Source organism: Homo sapiens, chromosome 19, assembly GCF_000001405.40.
Source record: "Homo sapiens chromosome 19, GRCh38.p14 Primary Assembly".
In the NCBI taxonomy this organism is placed as follows: Eukaryota; Metazoa; Chordata; class Mammalia; order Primates; family Hominidae; genus Homo; species Homo sapiens.
Genome location: NC_000019.10, coordinates 32,579,848 through 32,599,822, shown reverse-complemented (window position 1 = coordinate 32,599,822; position 19,975 = coordinate 32,579,848). Strand labels below are relative to the sequence as shown.

Here is a 19,975-nt window from a genome sequence, read left to right as displayed (position 1 = left end):
CATGCCACTGTCCCAAATATTTATTTTCGTTTATTTTGGGTTTTAGGGGAAAGACTTCAAGGGAGATTATGGCAAGAGATAGAAGTGTCCCTAATTTAACCGAAGGTTCTTTGCATGAGGTAAGTTATTAAACACTGGCTTTTAATCATATTTTCTAAAGCCCGGCTTTGTCAAAAGTAATCCATGGTAAACACGTCTCCTTGATCGTCATCTTCATTATTCCGTGCGCCGTATGAGTTAGCAGCAGTTAAAACTGGAATTATTTCATGGGACAGTGTAGAGTACAGACTTCACTGATTGTTATAACTAAAAGTACATTTCTGAGCAGAGGAGTGGAAAGTGTTACATGTGTGGGAAACCACAGGTCTTGGTGCTTATAGGAGATGAAACATCCCACATTTCACTATGGTTTTAATCACCAAAGAAAGAAAACGACAGTTTGTATATAGATGGGTAAATGATGTCTCCAAGTATGGTGTACAGTTGCTCAGACAATTCTTTATGTGGCCATCTTCCCACTACATTTTTTTATTTATTTATTTGAGACAGAGTCTTGCTCTGTGGCCCAGGCTGGAGTGCAGTGGCACGATCTCGGCTCACTGCAGTCTCCACCTCCCGGGTTCAAGCATTCTCCCGCCTCAGCCTCCTGAGTAGCTGGGATTACAGGCATGTGCCACTATTCCTGGCTAATTTTTTTGTATTTTTAGTAGAGACGCAGTTTCACCACGTTGGCCAGGCTGGTCTTGAACTCCTGACCTCAAGTGATCTGCCCGCTTTGGCCTCCCAGTGTGCTGGGATTACAAGTGTGAGCCACCGTGCCCGGACCCTACTGCATTTTTAAATCACTCAGAAGCTTGATTGAAAACCTGTGATCGGAGACAGTGATTCTTCTCAGAACCACAGCTTTCCTTGTTGCTGATGAGAATTTATAGCATATGTAGCATAGGCTTGTTGGAACAAATACACAAAAGTTCTAAATTGTTTTAGATAATTAAAATGATTTTAATTAACATGACTAATTTTGATACCATATTTAGTCTTATGTGGTGTTGCTAGGAGACCTGCTGCTTTGTGGGAAAGCCAGAATCGTTGAAATCTGCCTGAGTTCCATCAAGTGCTAGCTTTTCCCTTGCTAGCTGTAGGACTTTAGGCAGGTGGCTTAACTTTGCTGATCCTGTTTCCTCAGGTGTAAAACGGGGATAACAATAGTAGTACATGCCTCCTAGAGTCATAAAGATTGTGAAAACAAGTGAAACATTTACTCTGACACATGTAGTATGCACATGCCATGTTACCACGACAGGGATGTGAGAATTGAAATTATGCCTGTCAAGCACTGAGCACATTATGTGACACTAGGCACTAAGGGGCAGCTGTCACTGTCATGGTTGTGGCTTCCAGTACAGTGAGGACGTCAACGGTTAAAAATGTACTTTTTCTTTAGCCAGGGAGGCAAAGTGTCACACTGAGACAGAATAACCTGCCAGCTCAGAGTGGATCTCATGCTGCTGAGAAAGGCAACAGCGACTGGCCAGAGAGGCCTGGACTGACACAGACTGGCCCTGGACACAGACGGATGCTGCGGAGACACACGGTAGAGGATGCGGTCGTGTCCCAGGGCCCGGAGGCTGCTGGCCCCCTCTCCACTCCCCAAGAGGTTAGTGCTTCCCGGTCCTAACAGGAATGAGGAGTTGTTGAACCCACTGCTAGGAAGCAAGGATGCAACAAGATGATGCTGAGCGTGAACACATCTGAGAACTAAATGTGCTTCCATGAGACTGGCTTGAGAAGTCTTCAGCACCAAGTTCCTGAAAGCTTTTCTGTGGCAGGAAAGAATGCAACAAAAAAGTTAACCACCACCATCTCTCTCCTCTTCAAAGCTAATGAATACAATTGAAACAGACAAAAATTCCAGTAGCATCCAGATCCTTAAGCCAGAGGTGCATGCTTCTTTTTAAGTATGAGGGTTTGTTGGTCACAGTGGGAGAGGTTTCACCACCGCATTCTGACCTCCTCCTCCCAAAAGGTGCTAAACCTCTCTGACCTGTGTACATTCACAAACCACAGCTAGAATTCCTCCACCTAGGATTAAGCTGGAGAGAAGTAAGTAATTTAGGTTTCATGGTACTGTAGAGGCCAGGCTGAAATGTCATATCTGAAGGAAGAAAGCAGCAGCTGGACAATGTTTCTTTGCAAAGCAACACTCGAACCAAAAGATGCCTCAATCCCATTTTGATATTCATTTTAGTGAAAGGATGCATCAGACCTGTTCCACATCATGCACATGGGAAAGGGTGGTTATCATTTTCCTTCTAACAAGTAGGTACAGATATTCGGTTACTACACGTGCACCTGTAGCAGTATTTCTAGAAACATCCCTTTTTGTTGAGAACCTCCCTTGAATGTCTGTCACACTCACACCTGACGGGATGGTTACTGGATTAGAGAGTAGATTTGGCACATCTTTTCTTAGTCTTTTGATTCAAATTCAAAACTTAACAGCACAAACCAGGTCAGAGTTACTTTCGGTTAGAATTTATTGCCATTTATTCCTTTTTATAAATTTCTATAGATTATACTGTTATTTTTATGTTATTGGCCTAGAGCTACACGTATATGGGTTTGTCCTGAGTCCGTTTTCAAATGACCTTGTGATAGGGAAATGGTTTTGTCCATGTTCTTGGAAATACTTGTGTATGTACAGAAGGAAGGGAGGGATTATTTTTCTACAAAGTAATTTATGATTTCTAATTTTCTAATGTGCCTTGGATATGTGCCAAATGATGGAAAAGAAACAGTAAACTTTATGATTCTTGACTGTGTCATGGTATTTTTTTTTAGTTGTTTGGCTGCAGATGATATGTTTCTCAGCCTGTCTGCTGTAAACATGTGCTTTGTGTGTGAGAAAAAGGGTCCCCATTGAATGGATATACATTTTTCAGTTATAGATGTGAGATTGAAACATGGGAACTTGATCACTTAGCTCATTATTCATCTACTGACCAAGGCCTACTTAACCCAGTAGGCACAGTGTCCCGGGCCCACAAAAATGTTTTTCTTTGGAAATCAGAAGAATAAAATGAATACAGCTTCCTACCCCAAACAAACAGGAAATGAGCCCTGTTGCTTTGCTAATTTCTTTGTTCTGATTTTTCCTTTTCCCTTTTTTTTTTTTTTTTGAGATGGAGTCTCGCTCTGTCACCCAGGCTGGAGTGCAGTGGCACCATCTCGGCTCACTGCAGCCTCCGCCTCCCAGGTTCAAGCAATTCTTCTGCCTCAGCCTCCTGAGTAGCTGGGACTATAGGAACCCACCACCATGCCCGGCTAGTGTTTTTTTTGTTTTTGTTTTTTTGTTTTTGTATTTTTAGTAGAGACAGGGTTTTTCACCGTGTTAGCCAGGATGGTCTCAATCTCCTGACCTCGTGATCCGCCCGCCTCGGCCTCCCAAAGTGCTGGGATTACAGGTGTGAGCCACCATGCCCAGCCTTCCCTACTTTTAAACAAAACCACCTTATAGACTGAAGCTGCTGTGGTTCTATACCATCCTAATTAATACATCCTATACAGTTTATCAGCACAGGTATTCTCAAGATACAAATACACACATTTGACACCACCTAATATGTTGGGGTAGTGCAATATAATTTTGAAAACATTTTCTTGAGATGATGGAGTCTCGCTCTGTCACCCAGGCTGGAGTGCAGTGGCACCATCTCGGCTCACTGCAGCCTCTGCCTCCCAGATTCAAGCAATTCTCCTGCCTCAGCCTCCCGCATAGCTGGGATTACAGGTACCTGCCACCATCCATGCCTGGCTAATTTTTATATCTTTGGTAGAGATGGGGTTTCACCATGTTGGCCAGGCTGGTCTTGAACTCCTGACCTCAAGTGATCTGCCCACATTGGCCTCCCGAAGTGCTGGGATTGCAGGCATGAGCGACTGCGCCCAGCTGAAAACATTTTCACATATACCCATTTAATTTCAACAATCACTGTGAATGGTAGAATTGTCAAATGAGGAAACAGGTTCAGAAAAATAAGGGGACTGCGAGGGATCTCACAGCCAGGATCAAGGCCTGGTTGGCAGTGGCAGCTGCAAGCTTGGTGTACCCTTCCTCTGGAGAGGTAAATGCTGTTTCTTTTTGAGCTATTCTGGTCATCAGTAATGTTTTCCATCTTAAGTGACTCCCTCGATTATTTTTAAAAAACAGTTGTCATCCTGGCCAACATGGTGAAACCCTGTCTATACTAAAAGTACAAAAATTAGCTGGGTGTGGTGGCGTGCGCTTGTAATCCCAGCTACTTGGGATGCTGAGGCAGGAGAATTGCTTGAACCTGGGAGAGAGGTTGCAGTGAGCCAAGATCATGCCACTGCACTCCAGCCTGGCAACAGAGCAATACTCCATCTCAAAAAAAAGCAAACAACCAGTTGTTTTTTCCAATTGCTTTCCCTACCCAAAACTTGATGTGACAGTTGAGAAATTAATGCCCCTAATTTCCATTTTTGTGGAAAAAAGTTTTGAATTCAAAGTAACGCAAGTTCACTGATTTAAATTAGAAAGTTTAGAATAACCACTCTCCACTCCCTAAAATGTACTCCAGCCTCTTATTGCCATCAGGAACCTCTCTCCTTGTACATGGAACCACTTTTCACTCTCAGGTAGGTGTCTGAAAGAGTCTGACCATCTTTAAACACACTCACAGCAGTTGCCATTAGGACAGTGGTTATCCTGTGAGAAAGCACAGAACTTGTGAACTGCCTCATGTCCTCCTAGCATTTGTATGTAAATGAGGCCTAAAGCAAAATTTACCTGTAAATGGGATTTTTTTCAAAATCCCCGACCAAATTTTTTTTAAATTACCAGTTTACCCTGACAGAAAATCCCCAGCCAGATTTCATCTTATGATCATTCTTTTAAAAATATGTTGATGTTCTCAACGGTTCTACTTATTTATAATGTTAGATATTGTTCTATTTCTTCACTGACAATAGTTGCAAATTTCAAATATAGTAGAATCTCCAGTTTAAACATGTATCAGTAGTATGCTGGCTAACGCAGAGACTGGGGTTTGCAAACCACATTTCCCTTCATTTTTTTACTAATCCTATTCACCTTGTTAAATTTATGAATTTAATCCTGTGCTAGGTCTCACAGGACTACGACATTTAAAAGGTTACACCAAACAGCTGGTTGATGGTTAAGTTTATGATTTAAATATATGAGCAGTGGCTTGCACCTACAGTCTCAGCTACGAGGGAGGCTGAGGTGGGAAGATCAGTTAAACTCAGGAGTTTGAGGCCAGCCTCAGCAACACAGCAAGTCTCCGTCTCTGAAAACCGTAACTTATGAGTGCAGGTTTTCATAACCTAGTGGAAAGAAAGCACAACAAAAGAGAGAACATTTAAGTCACCTGCAACATTATCAGTGATATGTTACCAAAATGTTTAAATGCTGAAGTGTCTCAACTGGATTTGAAATCATTAGAAGTCATTTCTCTTACAAACATGTTTATTACTGTAGTAGCATTACCAACATGTCTATTTTGGTCATTTTCTTTTTCAGTCATTATCACTCTAGTTATTTTGGAGGGAGTGGTATTTGTTAATATCAGTACCTCTGAAAAACAATTATAAATGAGATCAAAGCTAGCTTTTTTTTTTCTTTGAGATGGAATCACCCAGGTTGGAGTGCAATGGCCTGATCTCAGCTCACTGCAACCTCTGCCTACCAGGTTCGAGCCTCCCAAGTAGCTGGGATTACAGGTGTGTGCCACCACGCCCAGCTAATTTTTATATTTTTAGTAGAGACAGGGTTTCACCATGTTGGCCAGGCTGGTCTCAAACTCCCGACCTCAAATGACCTGCCAGCCTCAGCCTCCCAAAGTGCTGGGATCACAGGTGTTAGCCACTGTGCCTGGCAAAGCTAGGAATTTTCTTACATTAAGTGGAAGTAGTATCTGCAGGAAGAGAAAGAGCTTACCTGCTTTCAGAATCTACATCTTAGAATATTAGATGTGCTCAAATGTTGAACCTGATTCAGTCTGATGGACAGGTTTTAATTCCCCTTATGTTATTGGCGGCTGCTGCTGCTGCTGCTATATTTTTCTTCCTGAAGAGTGCTGGAGCAGCTTCTGTTTCCGCCACGGACACTTTTCCTATCTAATATTCATGGCACAGTTGCAAAGGGTAGAGTCATGCTGGTACACGTGCTTAAAAGCTTTTGGTCAGGGAGGAGCCAAGATGGCCGAATAGGAACAGCTCTGGTCTACAGCTCCCAGCGTGAGCAACGCAGAAGATGGGTGATTTCAGCATTTCCATCTGAGGTACCGGGTTCATCTCACTAGGGAGTGCCAGACGGTGCAGGTCAGTGGGTGCAGCCCACCGTGCGCTAGCCGAAGCAGGGCGAGGCATTGCCTCACTCGGGAAGCACAAGGGGTCAGGGAGTTCCCTTTCCTAGTCAAAGAAAGGGGTGACAGACGGCACCTGGAAAATCGGGTCACTCCCACCCAAATACTGCGCCTTTTCCAACGGGCTTAAAAAACGGCGCACCAGATTATATCCCGCACCTGGCTCGGAGGGTCCTACGCCCACAGAGTCTCGCTGACTGCAAGGCGGCAGCGAGGCTGGGGGAGGGGCGCCCGCCATTGCCCAGGCTTGCTTAGGTAAACAAAGCAGCCTGGAAGCTCGAACTGGGTGGAGCCCACCACAGCTCAAGGAGGCCTGCCTGCCTCAGTAGGCTCCACCTCTGGGGGCAGGGCACAGACAAACAAAAAGACAGCGGTAACCTCTGCAGACTTAAATGTCCCTGTCTGACAGCTTTGAAGAGAGCAGTGGTTCTCCCAGCACGCAGCTGGAGATCTGAGAATGGGCAGACTGCCTCCTCAAGTGGATCCCTGACTCCTGACCCGCCTAACTGGGAGGCACCCCCCAGTAGGGGCAGACTGACACTTCACACGGCCAGGTACTCTGAGACAAAACTTCCTGAGGAATGATCAGACAACAGCATTCGCGGTTCATGAAAAACCGCTGTTCTGCAAACACCACTGCTGATACCCAGGCAAACAGGGTCTGGAGTGGACCTCTAGCAAACTCCAACAGACCTGCAGCTGAGGGTCCTGTTAGAAGGAAAACTAACAAACAGAAAGGACATCCACACCAAAAACCCATCTGTACATCACCATCATCAAAGACCAAAAGTAGATAAAACCACAAAGATGGGGAAAAAACAGAGCAGAAAACTGGAAACTCTAAAAAGCAGAGCGCCTCTCCTCCTCCAAAGGAACGCAGTTCCTCACCAGCAATGGAACAAAGCTGGACGGAGAATGACTTTGATGAGCTGAGAGAAGAAGACTTCAGACGATCAAACTACGAGCTACAGGAGGAAATTCAAACCAAAGGCAAAGAAGTTAAAAACTTTGAAAAAAATTCAGACGAATGTATAACTAGAATAACCAATACAGAGAAGTGCTTAAAGGAGCTGATGGAGCCGAAAGCCAAGGCTCAAGAACTACGTGAAGAATGCAGAAGCCTCAGGAGCCGATGCGATCAACTGGAAGAAAGGGTATCAGCGATAGAAGATGAAATGAATGAAATGAAGCAAGAAGGGAAGTTTAGAGAAAAAATAAAATGAATAAAGCCTCCAAGAAATATGGGACTATGTGAAAAGACCAAATCTACGTCTGATTGGTGTACCTGAAAGTGATGGGGAGAATGGAACCAAGTTGGAAAACACTGCAGGATATTATCCAGGAGAACTTCCCCAATCTAGCAAGGCAGGCCAACATTCAGATTCAGGAAATACAGAGAACGCCACAAAGATACTCCTCGAGAAGAGCAACTCCAAGACACAAAATTGTCAGATTCACCAAAGTTGAAATGAAGGAAAAAATGTTAAGGGCAGCCAGAGAGAAAGGTCAGGTTACCCACAAAGGGAAGCCCATGAGACTAACAGCGGATCTCTCGGCAGAAACTCTACAAGCCAGAAGAGAGTGGGGGCCAATATTCAACATTCTTAAAGAAAAGAATTTTCAACCCAGAATTTCATATCCAGCCAAATTAAGCTTCATAAGTGAAGGAGAAATAAAACACTTTACAGACAAGCAAATGCTGAGAGATTTTGTCACCACCAGGCCTGCCCTAAAAGAGCTCCTGAAGGAAGCACTAAACATGGAAAGGAACAACCGGTACCAGCCACTGCAAAATCATGCCAAAATGTAAAGACCATCAAGACTAGGAAGAAACTGCATCAACTAATGAGCAAAATAACCAGCTAACATCATAATGACAGGATCAAATTCACACATAACAATATTAACTTTAAATGTAAATGGACTAAATGCTCCAATTAAAAGACACAGACTGGCAAATTGGATAAAGAGTCAAGACCCATCAGTGTGCTGTATTCAGGAAACCCATCTCACATGCAGAGACACACATAGGCTCAAAATAAAAGGATGGAGGAAGATCTACCAAGCAAATGGAAAACAAAAAAGGCAGGGGTTGCAATCCTAGTCTCTGATAAAACAGACTTTAAACCAACAAAGATCAAAAGAGACAAAGAGGCCATTACATAATGGTAAAGGGATCAATTCAACAAGAAGAGCTAACTATCCTAAATATATATGCACCCAATACAGGAGCACCCAGATTCATAAAGCAAGTCCTGAGTGACCTACAAAGAGACTTAGACTCCCAACACATTAATAATGGGAGACTTTAACACCCCACTGTCAACATTAGACAGATCAATGAGACGGAAAGTTAACAAGGATACCCAGGAATTGAACTCAGCTCTGCACCAAGTGGACCTAATAGACATCTACAGAACTCTCCACCCCAAATCAACAGAATATACATTTTTTTCAGCACCACACCGATTCCAAAATTGACCACATAGTTGGAAGCTCTCCTCAGCAAATGTAAAAGAACAGAAATTATAAGAAACTATCTCTCAGACCACAGTGCAATCAAACTAGAACTCAGGATTAAGAAACTCATTCAAAACAGCTCAACTACATGGAAACTGAACAACCTGCTCCTGAATGACTACTGGGTACATAACTAAATGAAGGCAGAAATAAAGATGTTCTTTGAAACCAATGAGAACAAAGACACAACATACCAGAATCTCTGGGACACATTCAAAGCAGTGTGTAGAGGGAAATTTATAGCACTAAATGCCCACAAGAGAAAGCAGGAAAGATCCAAAATTGACACCCTAACATCACAATTAAAAGAACTAGAAAAGCAAGAGCAAACACATTCAAAAGCTAGCAGAAGGCAAGAAATAACTAAAATCAGAGCAGAACTGAAGGAAAGAGAGACACAAAAAACCCTTCAAAAAATTAATGAATCCAGGAGCTGGTTTTTTGAAAGGGTCAACAAAATTGATAGACTGCTAGCAAGACTAATAAAGAAAAAAAGAGATAAGAATCAAATAGACACAATAAAAAATGATAAAGGGGATATCACCACCGATCCCACAGAAATACAAACTACCATCAGAGAATACTACAAACACCTCTACGCAAATAAACTAGAAAATCTAGAAGAAATGGATAAATTCCTCGACACATACACTCTCCCAAGACTAAACCAGGAAGAAGTTGAATCTCTGAATAGACCAATAACAGGAGCTGAAATTGTGGCAATAATCAACAGCTTACCAACCAAAGAGTCCAGGACCAGATGGATTCACAGCCGAATTCTACCAGAGGTACAAGGAGGAACTGGTACCATTCCTTCTGAAACTATTCCAATCAATAGAAAAAGAGGGAATCCTCCCTAACTCATTTTATGAGGCCAGCATCATCCTGATACCAAAGCCTGGCAGAGACACAACCAAAAAAGGAGAATTTTAGACCAATATCCTTGATGAACATTGATGCAAAAATCCTCAATAAAATACTGGCAAACCGAATCCAGCAGCACATCAAAAAGCTTATCCACCATGATCAAGTGGGCTTCATCCCTGGGATGCAAGGCTGGTTCAACATTCGCAAATCAATAAATGTAATCCAGCATATAAACAGAACCAAAGACAAAAACCACATGATTATCTCAATAGATGCAGAAAAGGCCTTTGACAAAATTCAACAACCCTTCATGCTAAAAACTCTCAATAAATTAGGTACTGATGGGATGTATCTCAAAATAATAAGAGCTATCTATGACACACCCACAGCCAATATCATACTGAATGGGCAAAAACTGGAAGCATTCCCTTTGAAAACTGGCACAAGACAGGGGTGCCCTCTCTCACCACTCCTATTCAACATAGTGTTGGAAGTTCTGGCCAGGGCAATTAGGCAGGAGAAGGAAATAAAAGATATTCATTTAGGAAAAGAGGAAGTCAAATTGTCCCTGTTTGCAGATGACATGATTGTATATCTAGAAAACCCCACTGTCTCAGCCCAAAATCTCCTTAAGCTGATAAACAACTTCAGCAAAGTCTCAGGATACAAAATCAATGTGCAAAAATCACAGGCATTCTTATACACCAATAACAGACAAACAGCCAAATCATGAGTGAACTCCCATTCACAATTGCTTCAAAGAGAATCAAATACCTAGGAATCCACCTTACAAGGGACGTGAAGGACCTCTTCAAGGAGAACTACAAACCACTGCTCAATGAAATAAAAGAGGATACAAAGAAATGGAAGAACATTCCATGCTCATGGGTAGGAAGAATCAATATTGTGAAAATGGCCATACTGCCCAAGGTAATTTATAGATTCAATGCCATCCCCATCAAGCTACCAATGACTTTCTTCACAGAATTGGAAAAAACTACTTCAAAATTCATATGGAACCAAAAAAGAGCCTGCATCGCCAAGTCAATCCTAAGCCAAAAGAACAAAGCTGGAGGCATCACGCTACCTGACTTCAAACTATACTACAAGGCTACAGTAACCAAAACAGCATGGTACTGGTACCAAAACAGAGATATAGATCAATGGAACAGAACAGAGCCCTCAGAAATAATGACGCATATCTACAACTATTTGATCTTTGACAAACCTGAGAAAAACAAGCAATGGGGAAAGGATTCCCTATTTAATAAATGGTGCTGGGAAAACTGGCTAGCCATATGTAAAAAGCTGAAACTGGATCCCTTCCTTACACCTTATACAAAAATCAATTCAAGATGGATTAAAGACTTAAACGTTAGACCTAAAACCATAAAAATCCTAGAAGAAAACCTAGGCATTACCATTCAGGACATAGGCATGGGCAAGGACTTCATGTCTAAAACACCAAAAGCAATGGCAACAAAAGCCAAAATTGACAAATGGGATCTAATTAAACTAAAGAGCTTCTGCACAGCAAAAGAAACTACCATCAGAGTGAACGGGCAACCCACAAAATGGGAGAAAATTTTCACAACCTACTCATCTGACAAAGGGCTAATATCCACAATCTACAGTGAACTCCAACAAATTTACAAGAAAAAAACAAACAACCCCATCAAAAAGTGGGCGAAGGACATGAACAGACACTTCTCAAAAGAAGACATTTATGCAGCCAAAAAACACATGAAAAAATGCTGACCATCACTGGCCATCAGAGAAATGCAAATCAAAACCACAATGAGATATCATCTCACACCGGTTAGAATAGCAATCATTAAAAAGTCAGGAAACAACAGGTGCTGGAGAGGATGTGGAGAAATAGGAACACTATTACACTGTTGGTGGGACTGTAAACTAGTTCGACCATTGTGGAAGTCAGTGTGGCAATTCCTCAGGGATCTAGAACTAGAAATACCATTTGACCCAGCCATCCCATTACTGGGTATATACCCAAAGGACTATAAATCATGCTGCTATATAGACACATGCACATGTATGTTTATTGCGGCACTATTCACAATAGCGAAGACTTGGAACCAACCCAAATGTCCCACAATGATAGACTGGATTAAGAAAATGTGGCACATATACACCATGGAATACTATGCAGCCATAAAAAATGATGAGTTCATGTCCTTTGTAGGGACATGGATGAAATTGGAAATCATCATTCTCAGTAAACTATCGCAAGAACAAAAAACCAAACACCGCATATTCTCACTCATAGGTGGGAACTGAACAATGAGAACACATGGACACAGGAAGGGGAACATCACACTCTGGGGACTCTTGTGGGGTGGGGGGAGGGGGGAGGGATAGCATTGGGAGATATACCTAATGCTAGATGACAAGTTAGTGGGTGCAGCGCACCAGCATGGCACATGTATACATATGTAACTAACCTGCACATTGTGCACATGTACCCTAAAACTTAAAGTATAATAACAAAAATAAAAATAAAAAAAGCTTTTGGTAGGAAGGGGAAAAATTCAAAACACAGATCTGGCCACTTGGCTATGATACTAAAACAACTTACCCAAATGTTTTATTTTGCATAACAAGTTTATTTTTTTAAAAGGCATATAGACAATAAACAAAGTAAATAATCAGATCTTAACTTCTGTCCTAGACTTGTTCCGTTAAGTTCTAGTCTGTGAGCACTTGTAGTTCAATAATCGTCATCTTCATCAGAGTCCATTACTTTTCTTCTGTTGAACTGGGAGGAAAATTAAATGAGTGTCAGAACATTTCTAATAAAGCATAACTCAGATTTTCCGAGAAAAGATTTCTACCAATTTTAGCAAGACATTTGTGTCTTTAAAGCAACTTAGCGTGAACTAAAAGGGTGGGAATGGAGTCAAGAGCCTATAAAAATTAGAACCCTCCCCCAACAGATTCAGCCTTTCTCCCCAAACTTTCACGTGTTTGACAAAAGGAAAATGTCTCTGGGCTGAAAAATATGTGTGGTAGATGTATACTCAACATTAATCTTTAAAGTATCCATCTTTTCATTTGCCACAAGCATCTGGGGACACTTACTTTCACTGTTGTTGTCTTTTCTGTTTGTTGGCTTACTTTTTTAAGGATTTCTATTAAACCTTGTTCTGATACCTAGGAGAACCAGAAAAGATAAGAAAAACAGTACTTTTTTAAACAAAGAATTTACCTCTGCAGATGGAATCACTTTGTACTCTTTTTGAGGTGTGGGGAAAGAGCTCAGGAAGGAAGCAGTGGTGAGGCAGGAGGTTGAAACTATTGGTTATAACTATTGGTTTAAGTTCCAAATAAAATTTGCTCTGCTATTCCTCACTTGAGAAGGAGGGGGAAGTATCCATAAAATTGCTTCCTCAGGAAAACTGAAAGCTAACATATTTAAGAACACCTTTATCATCACTAGCTGAGTGTGACAACCACATATACCACGGTGTTTGGTGTCAGGAATAGACACACCACTTCTGCCCGAGAAGCTTAAACATCCCCTTGAAGGAGGTAAGTCACACTCGGAAAAGATCAACCCAACCAGCTCTCTCCCACACAAGCAGTTCTCAGTGTGAGGGGTTTAGGGGACAGGACCAATTCGGGTAGGCTGTGGTGGTAGCAGACGGCTTCTCAGGGCAGGTGGGGTTCGTCTTGATCTCAAAGGCCAGGTTTGCCACAACATACCCCTCATGGTATTACAGCAACACAGAGAACATAAGCAAGGCATCTTAGCACCTTCTCATCTGCAAAACACACCTTCTACTTACACTGGTAGTATTTTAATTGGTGTTACTGACAAACCTTGCTTCCAGTGCAGGGGCAATTGAAGCTAGCTGACCCTAACAGTCATTGGGTCACAGACACCAACAAGGTTCCAGAGCAACGCCAGGAAAGGAGCGAAGCAGAGGAATTTAGGAAAGGCAATTTATTCTCTTTTAAAGTAGGTATGACTATTCTCTCCAACAATTTCTTCTGAGAGTCAGCAAGAATTCTGTAATCCAGTGAAGATGCAGCTGACCTTTTGAAGCCATGTTTTGATAAAGCAGGTAACAGTAAAGTTCCTCAAGGCTGTCTAAGCTTACCTTCTCACTTAGTTGTCCATATCTTGCCATCTGTATAAGGTAATTCTCTACTGCTTTAGTTTTTTCAGGCTTTACAAGTGCTAAGTTACTTACTAAAAAGAAAAAATACATATGCAAAAAATCCATTAAAATCAAATGCACTTATGTTATACCTTAAAACTATGCATTGACCTTTCCAAAGCACTTCACAAGCTTGTCCCTCAGTGTAGGGCAAGACAGTATTGTTACTCCTCTTAAAAATGAGAAAACTGAAGTTCACCCATGCCAATCTCCACATGGGCACATGGGGGTAGTGGCCCAGCCAAGATTAAAGTTGGGTTCTCAGATTCTAAGCACCATGCTTCCTGTTTCTTAAAATATATGACTGCCCTCTGGAAAGCGGTTTATCTATTACACATAATGGTGGTGATCCACCTGTGGCCGCCTTTTCTACACTCAAACTGGGCTTCCAGTTAAAATACAGAAAATACCAGTTCATTCTGACTGTCTCATTTTTTCTTTCTACAGGTTTTGGTTTTTATGATGAACAACTCTGAACATACACTAAAACTGACAATACATATAAAAAGCCCCTAAGTCCCCCATCCCCAGTCCCCATCACCAGTTGACACAAAATGTCAACTACCAGCAACATTTTGTGATTGGCCCTATGAGTTGTTTCCTATAAATCTTACCTAATACACACCTGGAGAACATCTTGGTAAGAGAAGTGACCTGGTACTTTTACTAGGGATTAAAGTACAGTTCTCTAGGTTTATAAACTTCACACTTCTTACACATCTCAAGTGTTTTCAGCCTAAGCAAATATTTCATCTAGTGATAGCAATAATGGTATCTAATCACCCCATTCAACTAACTCAAGCTAACTTTATGGAAATGAAATCAAAGATGCTTACACCTGGCCCGGGCCGACTGATCCAGAACTTGGGCTAAGATACTGTTTCTCATTTCTGCTTCCCTACAACGAAAACATAGGTCAAACACAATTAAAACACAGCTGTCGGCATTCCCATGTAACATACGAGAAAGAACCCATCCAGTATGTGTCTCCACATGGGGCCTGCGGTATACAAACTGCATTATGGTAGTTGCTGTACATAAGGCTGCAGCTACATTCAAGTAGAATCCCCTTTTGCCCTCAAAGAACCAGCTTTATATTACACAGGTGACAACCTACCAGGCTGGAAGGTGAGCTTTACAGTTTCATCAGAGTGGAGCCTCAGTTCAAACACCATCACCAACATTTCTTAAGTACCTATTGCGTGACAGGTGCTAGAAATTTATAGTGGGATTTCAGGCAATTAGAAGGACCATGTGACTAATCTATATCATTTTCTTAGAGATAAAGCTGAGATCCAGGAGGCTATGCTAAAGAGACATAGGTAACTGTGGCCAAGCTACAGCCAGATTCCATGTTTTAAGACTCTCAGTTCTATTTTTCTGGGTGGGGAAGGGGAATGAAATTATAACTTTGCAACTATCCTCACTTCTTCCTACCTACCCAAATAGAAAGTAGTTCACGTTCACAGGACAGTGGTCTCATGGACTTGTTTCTTTTTTCTTTCAAATGAAATCCTTTAAGAAATCTAAAAACAAATGAGCACAGATGCTTTGGCTCAACTGAGAGGGAGAGCTGGGGCTGGCTGTGCCCACTATCCACTCCCAGCTCAGAGGCCCTTCGGTTCATGGAATGTGGCTTAAAGCTCATTTCCATAGGCCACTTCTTTATGGTTTGAGTACTGCAGCCCTGCCACAAACTTTAAGAGATGGGGTCTAGGCCAGGCATGGTGGCTCATGCCTGTAATCTCAGCACTTTGGGAGGCTGAGGTGGGTGGATCACTTGAGGTCAGGAGTTTGAGACCAGCCTGGCCAACATGGTGAAACCCCATCTCTACTAAAAATACAAAAATTAGCCGGGCATGGTGGCGGGTGCCTGTAATCCCAGCTACTTGGGAGGCAGAGGCAGGAGAATCGCTTGAAGCTCAGAGGCAGAGGTTACGGTGAGCCAAGATTGTGCCACTGCACTCCAGCCTGGGTGATGGAGTGAGACTTCATCTCAACAACAATAAAAAAAGATGGGGTCTCACTCTGCTGTTCATGCTGGAGTACAGTGGTGCAATCACAGCTCACTGCAGCTATGATCAGCTCAAGCTCCTGTGCTCAAGTGATTCTTCCCCCTCGGCCTCCTGAGTAGCTGGGTCTACAGGCTTCAGTCACCACACCTGGCCTGCCACAAACTATTATATCACAGAACCCTAAGATGCCATCAATTCTAAGATACACCATAGTTTTACGTATCTCTAAAAATGAAAAACCCTAAAATGAGAGGTCTAATAGAGATCTCCATTCAAAACTGGGGTTTCTCGGGAGGCCAAGGTGGGAGGATCACTTGAAGCCAGGAGTTTGAGACCAGCCTGGGTGATATAGCGAGGCTATTAAAAAAAAAAAAAGTTTAAAAAAATTAGCCAGGCATGGTGGTGCACGCCTGTCATCTCAGCTCCTCAGGAGGCTGAGGTGGGAGGATCACTTGAGCCCAGCAGGAGTTTGAGGCTGCAGTGAGTTCTGATCCCACCACTGGGGTATCAAAGAGCAACATTCTCAGTACAAAGTAAAGAATAAATAAATATGCCATGCAGTAAGGGGCAGTACAAAAGCTTGCATGCACCTGGCCCTGACGTAAAGAAGAAAAAAGTTCAGTCTTACAGGGTTGCTGTCTGAATTCACACTACTAGGCAGGAGGCAGGGGAAAACCTCAAGCAGAGAATTTAACTTTCAATGGTCTCAGAAATGTACTCAAGTGATAGCAGAGTCAAAAGTAAATCCCCTCTGGAAGAATCTGGGGCAAGAGCAATCTGTTTTAAAAGGCATCCTGATTTCAGATATGTGACAATGAAAAGATGTACACGGCAGAAATCAATGAAATTTGCGTCGTTTTACTTCCTATCACTACTCCAGATACTTCTCACCGTCTGTCTTCTCCCGAACCCTCCCTTCCTATTTCTGTAGACCCAGCACAGTGCCTGACCCAGAGCAGGTGCTCTATAAATATTTGCTGGAGAGGAGGAGTAAGAAGGTGAGGAAGGGGAAATAGAGAATTGTCCAGTAGCTAAAGGTTTCAGTCTTGCAAGATGAAAACATTCTAGAGTGTGAACACTACTGAAGAGCACACTTAAAAATGGTTGTGATGGTGAAATTTTATTTAACCACAATTTTTAAAAAATGATAGCATGATAGGGTAATCACATACTCATTCAATAAACCTGCCACCGAATCAATTACCTGCATCTGTCTCAGGTGCTGTGCGCTGTGTTGGGATAAAACAATCAGAATAGCTTACCAGTTAACACTTATTGAGCACTTACTAAGTGAGGCACCGGACTCACGTCACCCCCACAGCCGAGGAAACTGCCACAGCTGCCTATTATCAGGCTCATTTTTAAGGTACTCACATTGTAGCAGAGAAACATCAACCAGTAATTGCAATACAAGGTCTGATGTGGAGCTGCACACGTGTTTATTTAACAATAATGAAGATACCCTGCGGATGATTTTGGCCAAATCACCATTCCAGCAAAACAAAAAAATCTGAGTCACACACCTGCTTAAAATAACTACAGCAAAAGAAATCCATTTGGTGAAACCACCCTTCAAAAAGTTCACGTTTCCAGCCCATACCTGTGCTTTGCTTCCTGTTGGGCCGCATCACCAGGATCCTGGAAAAAAAAAACTTAAATTTAATAGAGAAATTTCACGGGAGGCGGCGGGAAAAAGGAACGGTTCTGTTGTTTCCTATACATAACAGTCTCTTGCGGTGGTAGAAACAACTCCCCAAATAAGAAACTGGGCCTCACAGAAATCAATGAACTAGTTCCCACTTACAACGTTTTGATGAACGTCTAAAACCACAACCTCAGAAGGCTTTGGAATACAGAGCACCCTGGGGAGGGGAATCCCTGTATTACGAAACCGTGTTTCACATGTAGGAATAATTTCTGGAAAATAAAACGGGCCTCGGTATTAGGGACAACGATAACTCAAAGACTGCGCCCTCCGTCCCTAAGGTCCCGGTCCCTTATCAGAAACGCCTCTCCGGGCGTGTGATCCATCCAAGCTTCCCAGGCGGCCCCTCCCTGTCATCCCGGCGGGGCAAGCGTTCCTCCGACCCTGCCGCGCTCTCAGCACCGGGAACACAGCGGACCCTCAATACCTGTCGGCTAAACTTGGGTCATAACAACTGAACTCCGGAAAAACTGAATTCGGTCCGGCTGCTGGCTCCAAAAGCTGAGATTGTGCTTGGATCCAGGCCCGCCAGGACGAGCCCGCTCCAGGCTAGGGGACCCCACACCCCAACGCCAGGGCAGGTCCCGCACGTGGCGGCCCCCGCCGCCAGCCTCCTGGGCCCCTCGCGACGAGGAAAGCGACGAGGCCACCTCTGAGCCGGCCACGAGGCCGCCAGGGCAGCGCAGGGGACCGGGGCCCCGGGGAGGCGCCCAGAGCCTCCGCCCCGGAGGCGCGCCCTACACTCCGGGCGAGGGCGGCGCCCCGCGAGGGCCAAGCCTGGCGGGGGCTGATGCGCTCACCCCGTGTTTGGCCTGCAGCTCGGCCAGCCTCTGTCTCCTCAGCGCCTCAAGCTCCTCGTCCGCCATGGCTCGGCGTCAGCGCTGGAGCAGCCGCGGTCACTCTCGCAGCCCCTCGGCGCGAGCGCGGCCTTGACCACTGCGCAGGCGCTCGCGGGGCCCAGGCGCCACCAATCCAGCCCGGAGCCACGCCCCGCGCCGCTGCCAGGGCGCCGGCAGAGGCCCGATTCCCCGATTTCAGGCGGTCGAGCTTGGGCGCACGGAGGGGCGGGGCCTGGGGCGGGGCCTCCGGGATCCACCTCCCACCCGTGATCGGCGCCTCTGCGTGCAGGGACTTGGGCTGCGCTGGGGCGGGGCTGCGCTTTGGAAAGGTTAAAACCTGAAAGTGTGGCATCAACAAGTATAATAATTATGGGTGCAATGTGCTGGTGACCTAGAGGGTTAGGCGTATATTATCTCTATTTATAGATGAGGAACCAGGGGCGCAGGAAGGCTGAGTGGGGTGATGGAAATGTCCTAAAGCTGGATCGTGGCGGTGGCTGCCCGGCTCCTCGGTGCACACAGAGGCCGGCCGGTGGCTCGCCGCCTGTGGTCCCGACGCTTCGGGAGGCGGTAGGGTCATTTGAGGTCAGGAGTTAGAGACCAGCCTGGGCAATATGGCAAGAGCCTATCTCTACTAAAATTTTAAAAAACTAGTTGGGCGCGGTGATGTGCACCTGTAGTCCCAGCTACTCAGGAGGCTGTGTCAGGAGGATCGCTGGAGCCCGGAAGTTCGAGGCTGCAGTGAGCCTTGATCTCGCCACTGCACTCCAGCCTGGGAGACACAGCCAGACCCTGTCTCTAAAAAAAAAAAAAAAAAAAAAAAAAGTGCACATCTGCCTCCTCGCCATCTGCCTCCTCCACGCACAAAAGGGCTTTTCCTGGGAGGATACTGCAGTGGGCAGCTGTGGCTGGTGTAAACTCTTTGGTGGAACAAATCCCTTCTGCCTTTGACTTGGGGGAATTGGGGGCAGAGAGGATATTCAGCTACCTAAACGTGTGACTCATACAGATTCTGTTTGTTTGTCTGTGTGTGTGTTATTTTATTTTTTACATTAAAAAAATACAGATGGGGTCTCGCTATGTTGCCTAGGCTGGCCTCTATCTCCTGAGCTCAAGCAATCCTTTTGCCTCAGCCTCCCAAACTGCTAACATTACAGGCATGAGCCACCACACCTGGCCTGTGTGTTTTAATTGTGGCAAAATATACACAATACAAAATTTACCATTTTCACCATTTTTAGGTGTACTTTTCAGTGGTATGAAATGCATTATCGTGCAGTTGTCACTCAATCTCAGCTCACTGCAACCTCCACCTCCCGGGTTCAAGCGATTCTCCTGCATCAGTCTCCCAAGTAGCTGGGACCACAGGCGTGCACCACTGTGCCCGGCTAATTTTGTATTTTTTAGTAGAGATGGGGTTTCACCATGTTGGTCAAGCTGG

At 44.0% G+C, this 19,975-nt stretch overlaps 2 protein-coding genes across 3 annotated transcripts in view, besides 7 other annotated features; one reads left to right on the top strand and one right to left on the bottom strand.

Annotated features, from left to right (window-relative positions):
* Positions 1-2,817, top strand: part of ANKRD27 (ankyrin repeat domain 27) — a 78,175-nt gene extending 75,358 nt beyond the window's left edge. The window contains exons 28-29 of the mRNA NM_032139.3: positions 47-119; positions 1,445-2,817. Of these exons, the coding sequence (NP_115515.2) occupies positions 47-119; positions 1,445-1,678 (307 nt within the window). The 3' untranslated portion in view covers positions 1,679-2,817. The remainder of the gene's footprint in view (positions 1-46; positions 120-1,444) is intronic.
* Positions 5,635-6,834: an enhancer, noted in NCBI's record as "CDK7 strongly-dependent group 2 enhancer chr19:33083895-33085094 (GRCh37/hg19 assembly coordinates)". NCBI's record gives its function as "activates an origin of replication core promoter dependent on BRD2, BRD4, P300/CBP, MED14 and CDK7 cofactors, with strong dependence on CDK7, by STARR-seq in HCT116 cells {active_cell/tissue: HCT116}" and the evidence as "EXISTENCE:reporter gene assay evidence [ECO:0000049][PMID:35650434]".
* Positions 5,635-7,126: a biological region, named in NCBI's record as "CDK7 strongly-dependent group 2 enhancer GRCh37_chr19:33083895-33085094".
* Positions 6,125-6,624: an enhancer, noted in NCBI's record as "H3K4me1 hESC enhancer chr19:33084105-33084604 (GRCh37/hg19 assembly coordinates)". NCBI's record gives its function as "activates a minimal SCP1, AML or CMV promoter by ChIP-STARR-seq in primed H9 embryonic stem cells {active_cell/tissue: H9 hESC(primed)}" and the evidence as "EXISTENCE:reporter gene assay evidence [ECO:0000049][PMID:30033119]".
* Positions 6,625-7,126: an enhancer, noted in NCBI's record as "H3K4me1 hESC enhancer chr19:33083603-33084104 (GRCh37/hg19 assembly coordinates)". NCBI's record gives its function as "activates a minimal SCP1, AML or CMV promoter by ChIP-STARR-seq in primed H9 embryonic stem cells {active_cell/tissue: H9 hESC(primed)}" and the evidence as "EXISTENCE:reporter gene assay evidence [ECO:0000049][PMID:30033119]".
* Positions 12,370-18,633, bottom strand: PDCD5 (programmed cell death 5). Of its 2 annotated transcripts, NM_004708.4 has the most exons (6): positions 18,496-18,633; positions 17,591-17,628; positions 14,812-14,873; positions 13,916-14,007; positions 12,894-12,965; positions 12,370-12,570 (listed from the first exon to the last, which is right to left on the bottom strand). In NM_004708.4, the coding sequence occupies exons 1-6, from the start codon at positions 18,559-18,561 to the stop codon at positions 12,523-12,525; spliced, it is 378 nt and encodes a 125-aa protein (NP_004699.1). In that variant the 5' UTR covers positions 18,562-18,633; the 3' UTR covers positions 12,370-12,522. The 2 variants fall into 2 exon arrangements, with proteins under 2 accessions (NP_004699.1, XP_005259449.1); XM_005259392.6 differs by lacking the exon at positions 12,370-12,570 and having other exon boundaries at positions 12,917-14,007.
* Positions 18,154-18,883: a silencer, noted in NCBI's record as "silent region_10482". NCBI's record gives its function as "represses an Ori minimal core promoter by ATAC-STARR-seq in GM12878 lymphoblastoid cells {active_cell/tissue: GM12878}" and the evidence as "EXISTENCE:reporter gene assay evidence [ECO:0000049][PMID:35858748]".
* Positions 18,632-18,808: a silencer, noted in NCBI's record as "fragment chr19:33071921-33072097 (GRCh37/hg19 assembly coordinates)". NCBI's record gives its function as "represses an EF-1alpha promoter that drives an FKBP-Casp9 reporter gene in an ReSE screen in K562 erythroleukemia cells {active_cell/tissue: K562}" and the evidence as "EXISTENCE:reporter gene assay evidence [ECO:0000049][PMID:32094911]".
* Positions 19,094-19,183: an enhancer, noted in NCBI's record as "active region_14430". NCBI's record gives its function as "activates an Ori minimal core promoter by ATAC-STARR-seq in GM12878 lymphoblastoid cells {active_cell/tissue: GM12878}" and the evidence as "EXISTENCE:reporter gene assay evidence [ECO:0000049][PMID:35858748]".

Coding starts and splice junctions, on each gene's coding strand:
- PDCD5 (XM_005259392.6), bottom strand. CDS start 18,561: ATGGCGGACGAGGAGCTTGAGGCGCTGAGGAGACAGAGGCTGGCCGAG. Junction 14,874..17,590: donor CAACAGGAAGCAAAGCACAG/GTATGGGCTGGA, acceptor TTTTCGTTGTAG/GGAAGCAGAAATGAGAAACA. Junction 14,008..14,811: donor TCAGTCGGCCCGGGCCAGGT/GTAAGCATCTTT, acceptor TTTTCTTTTTAG/TAAGTAACTTAGCACTTGTA.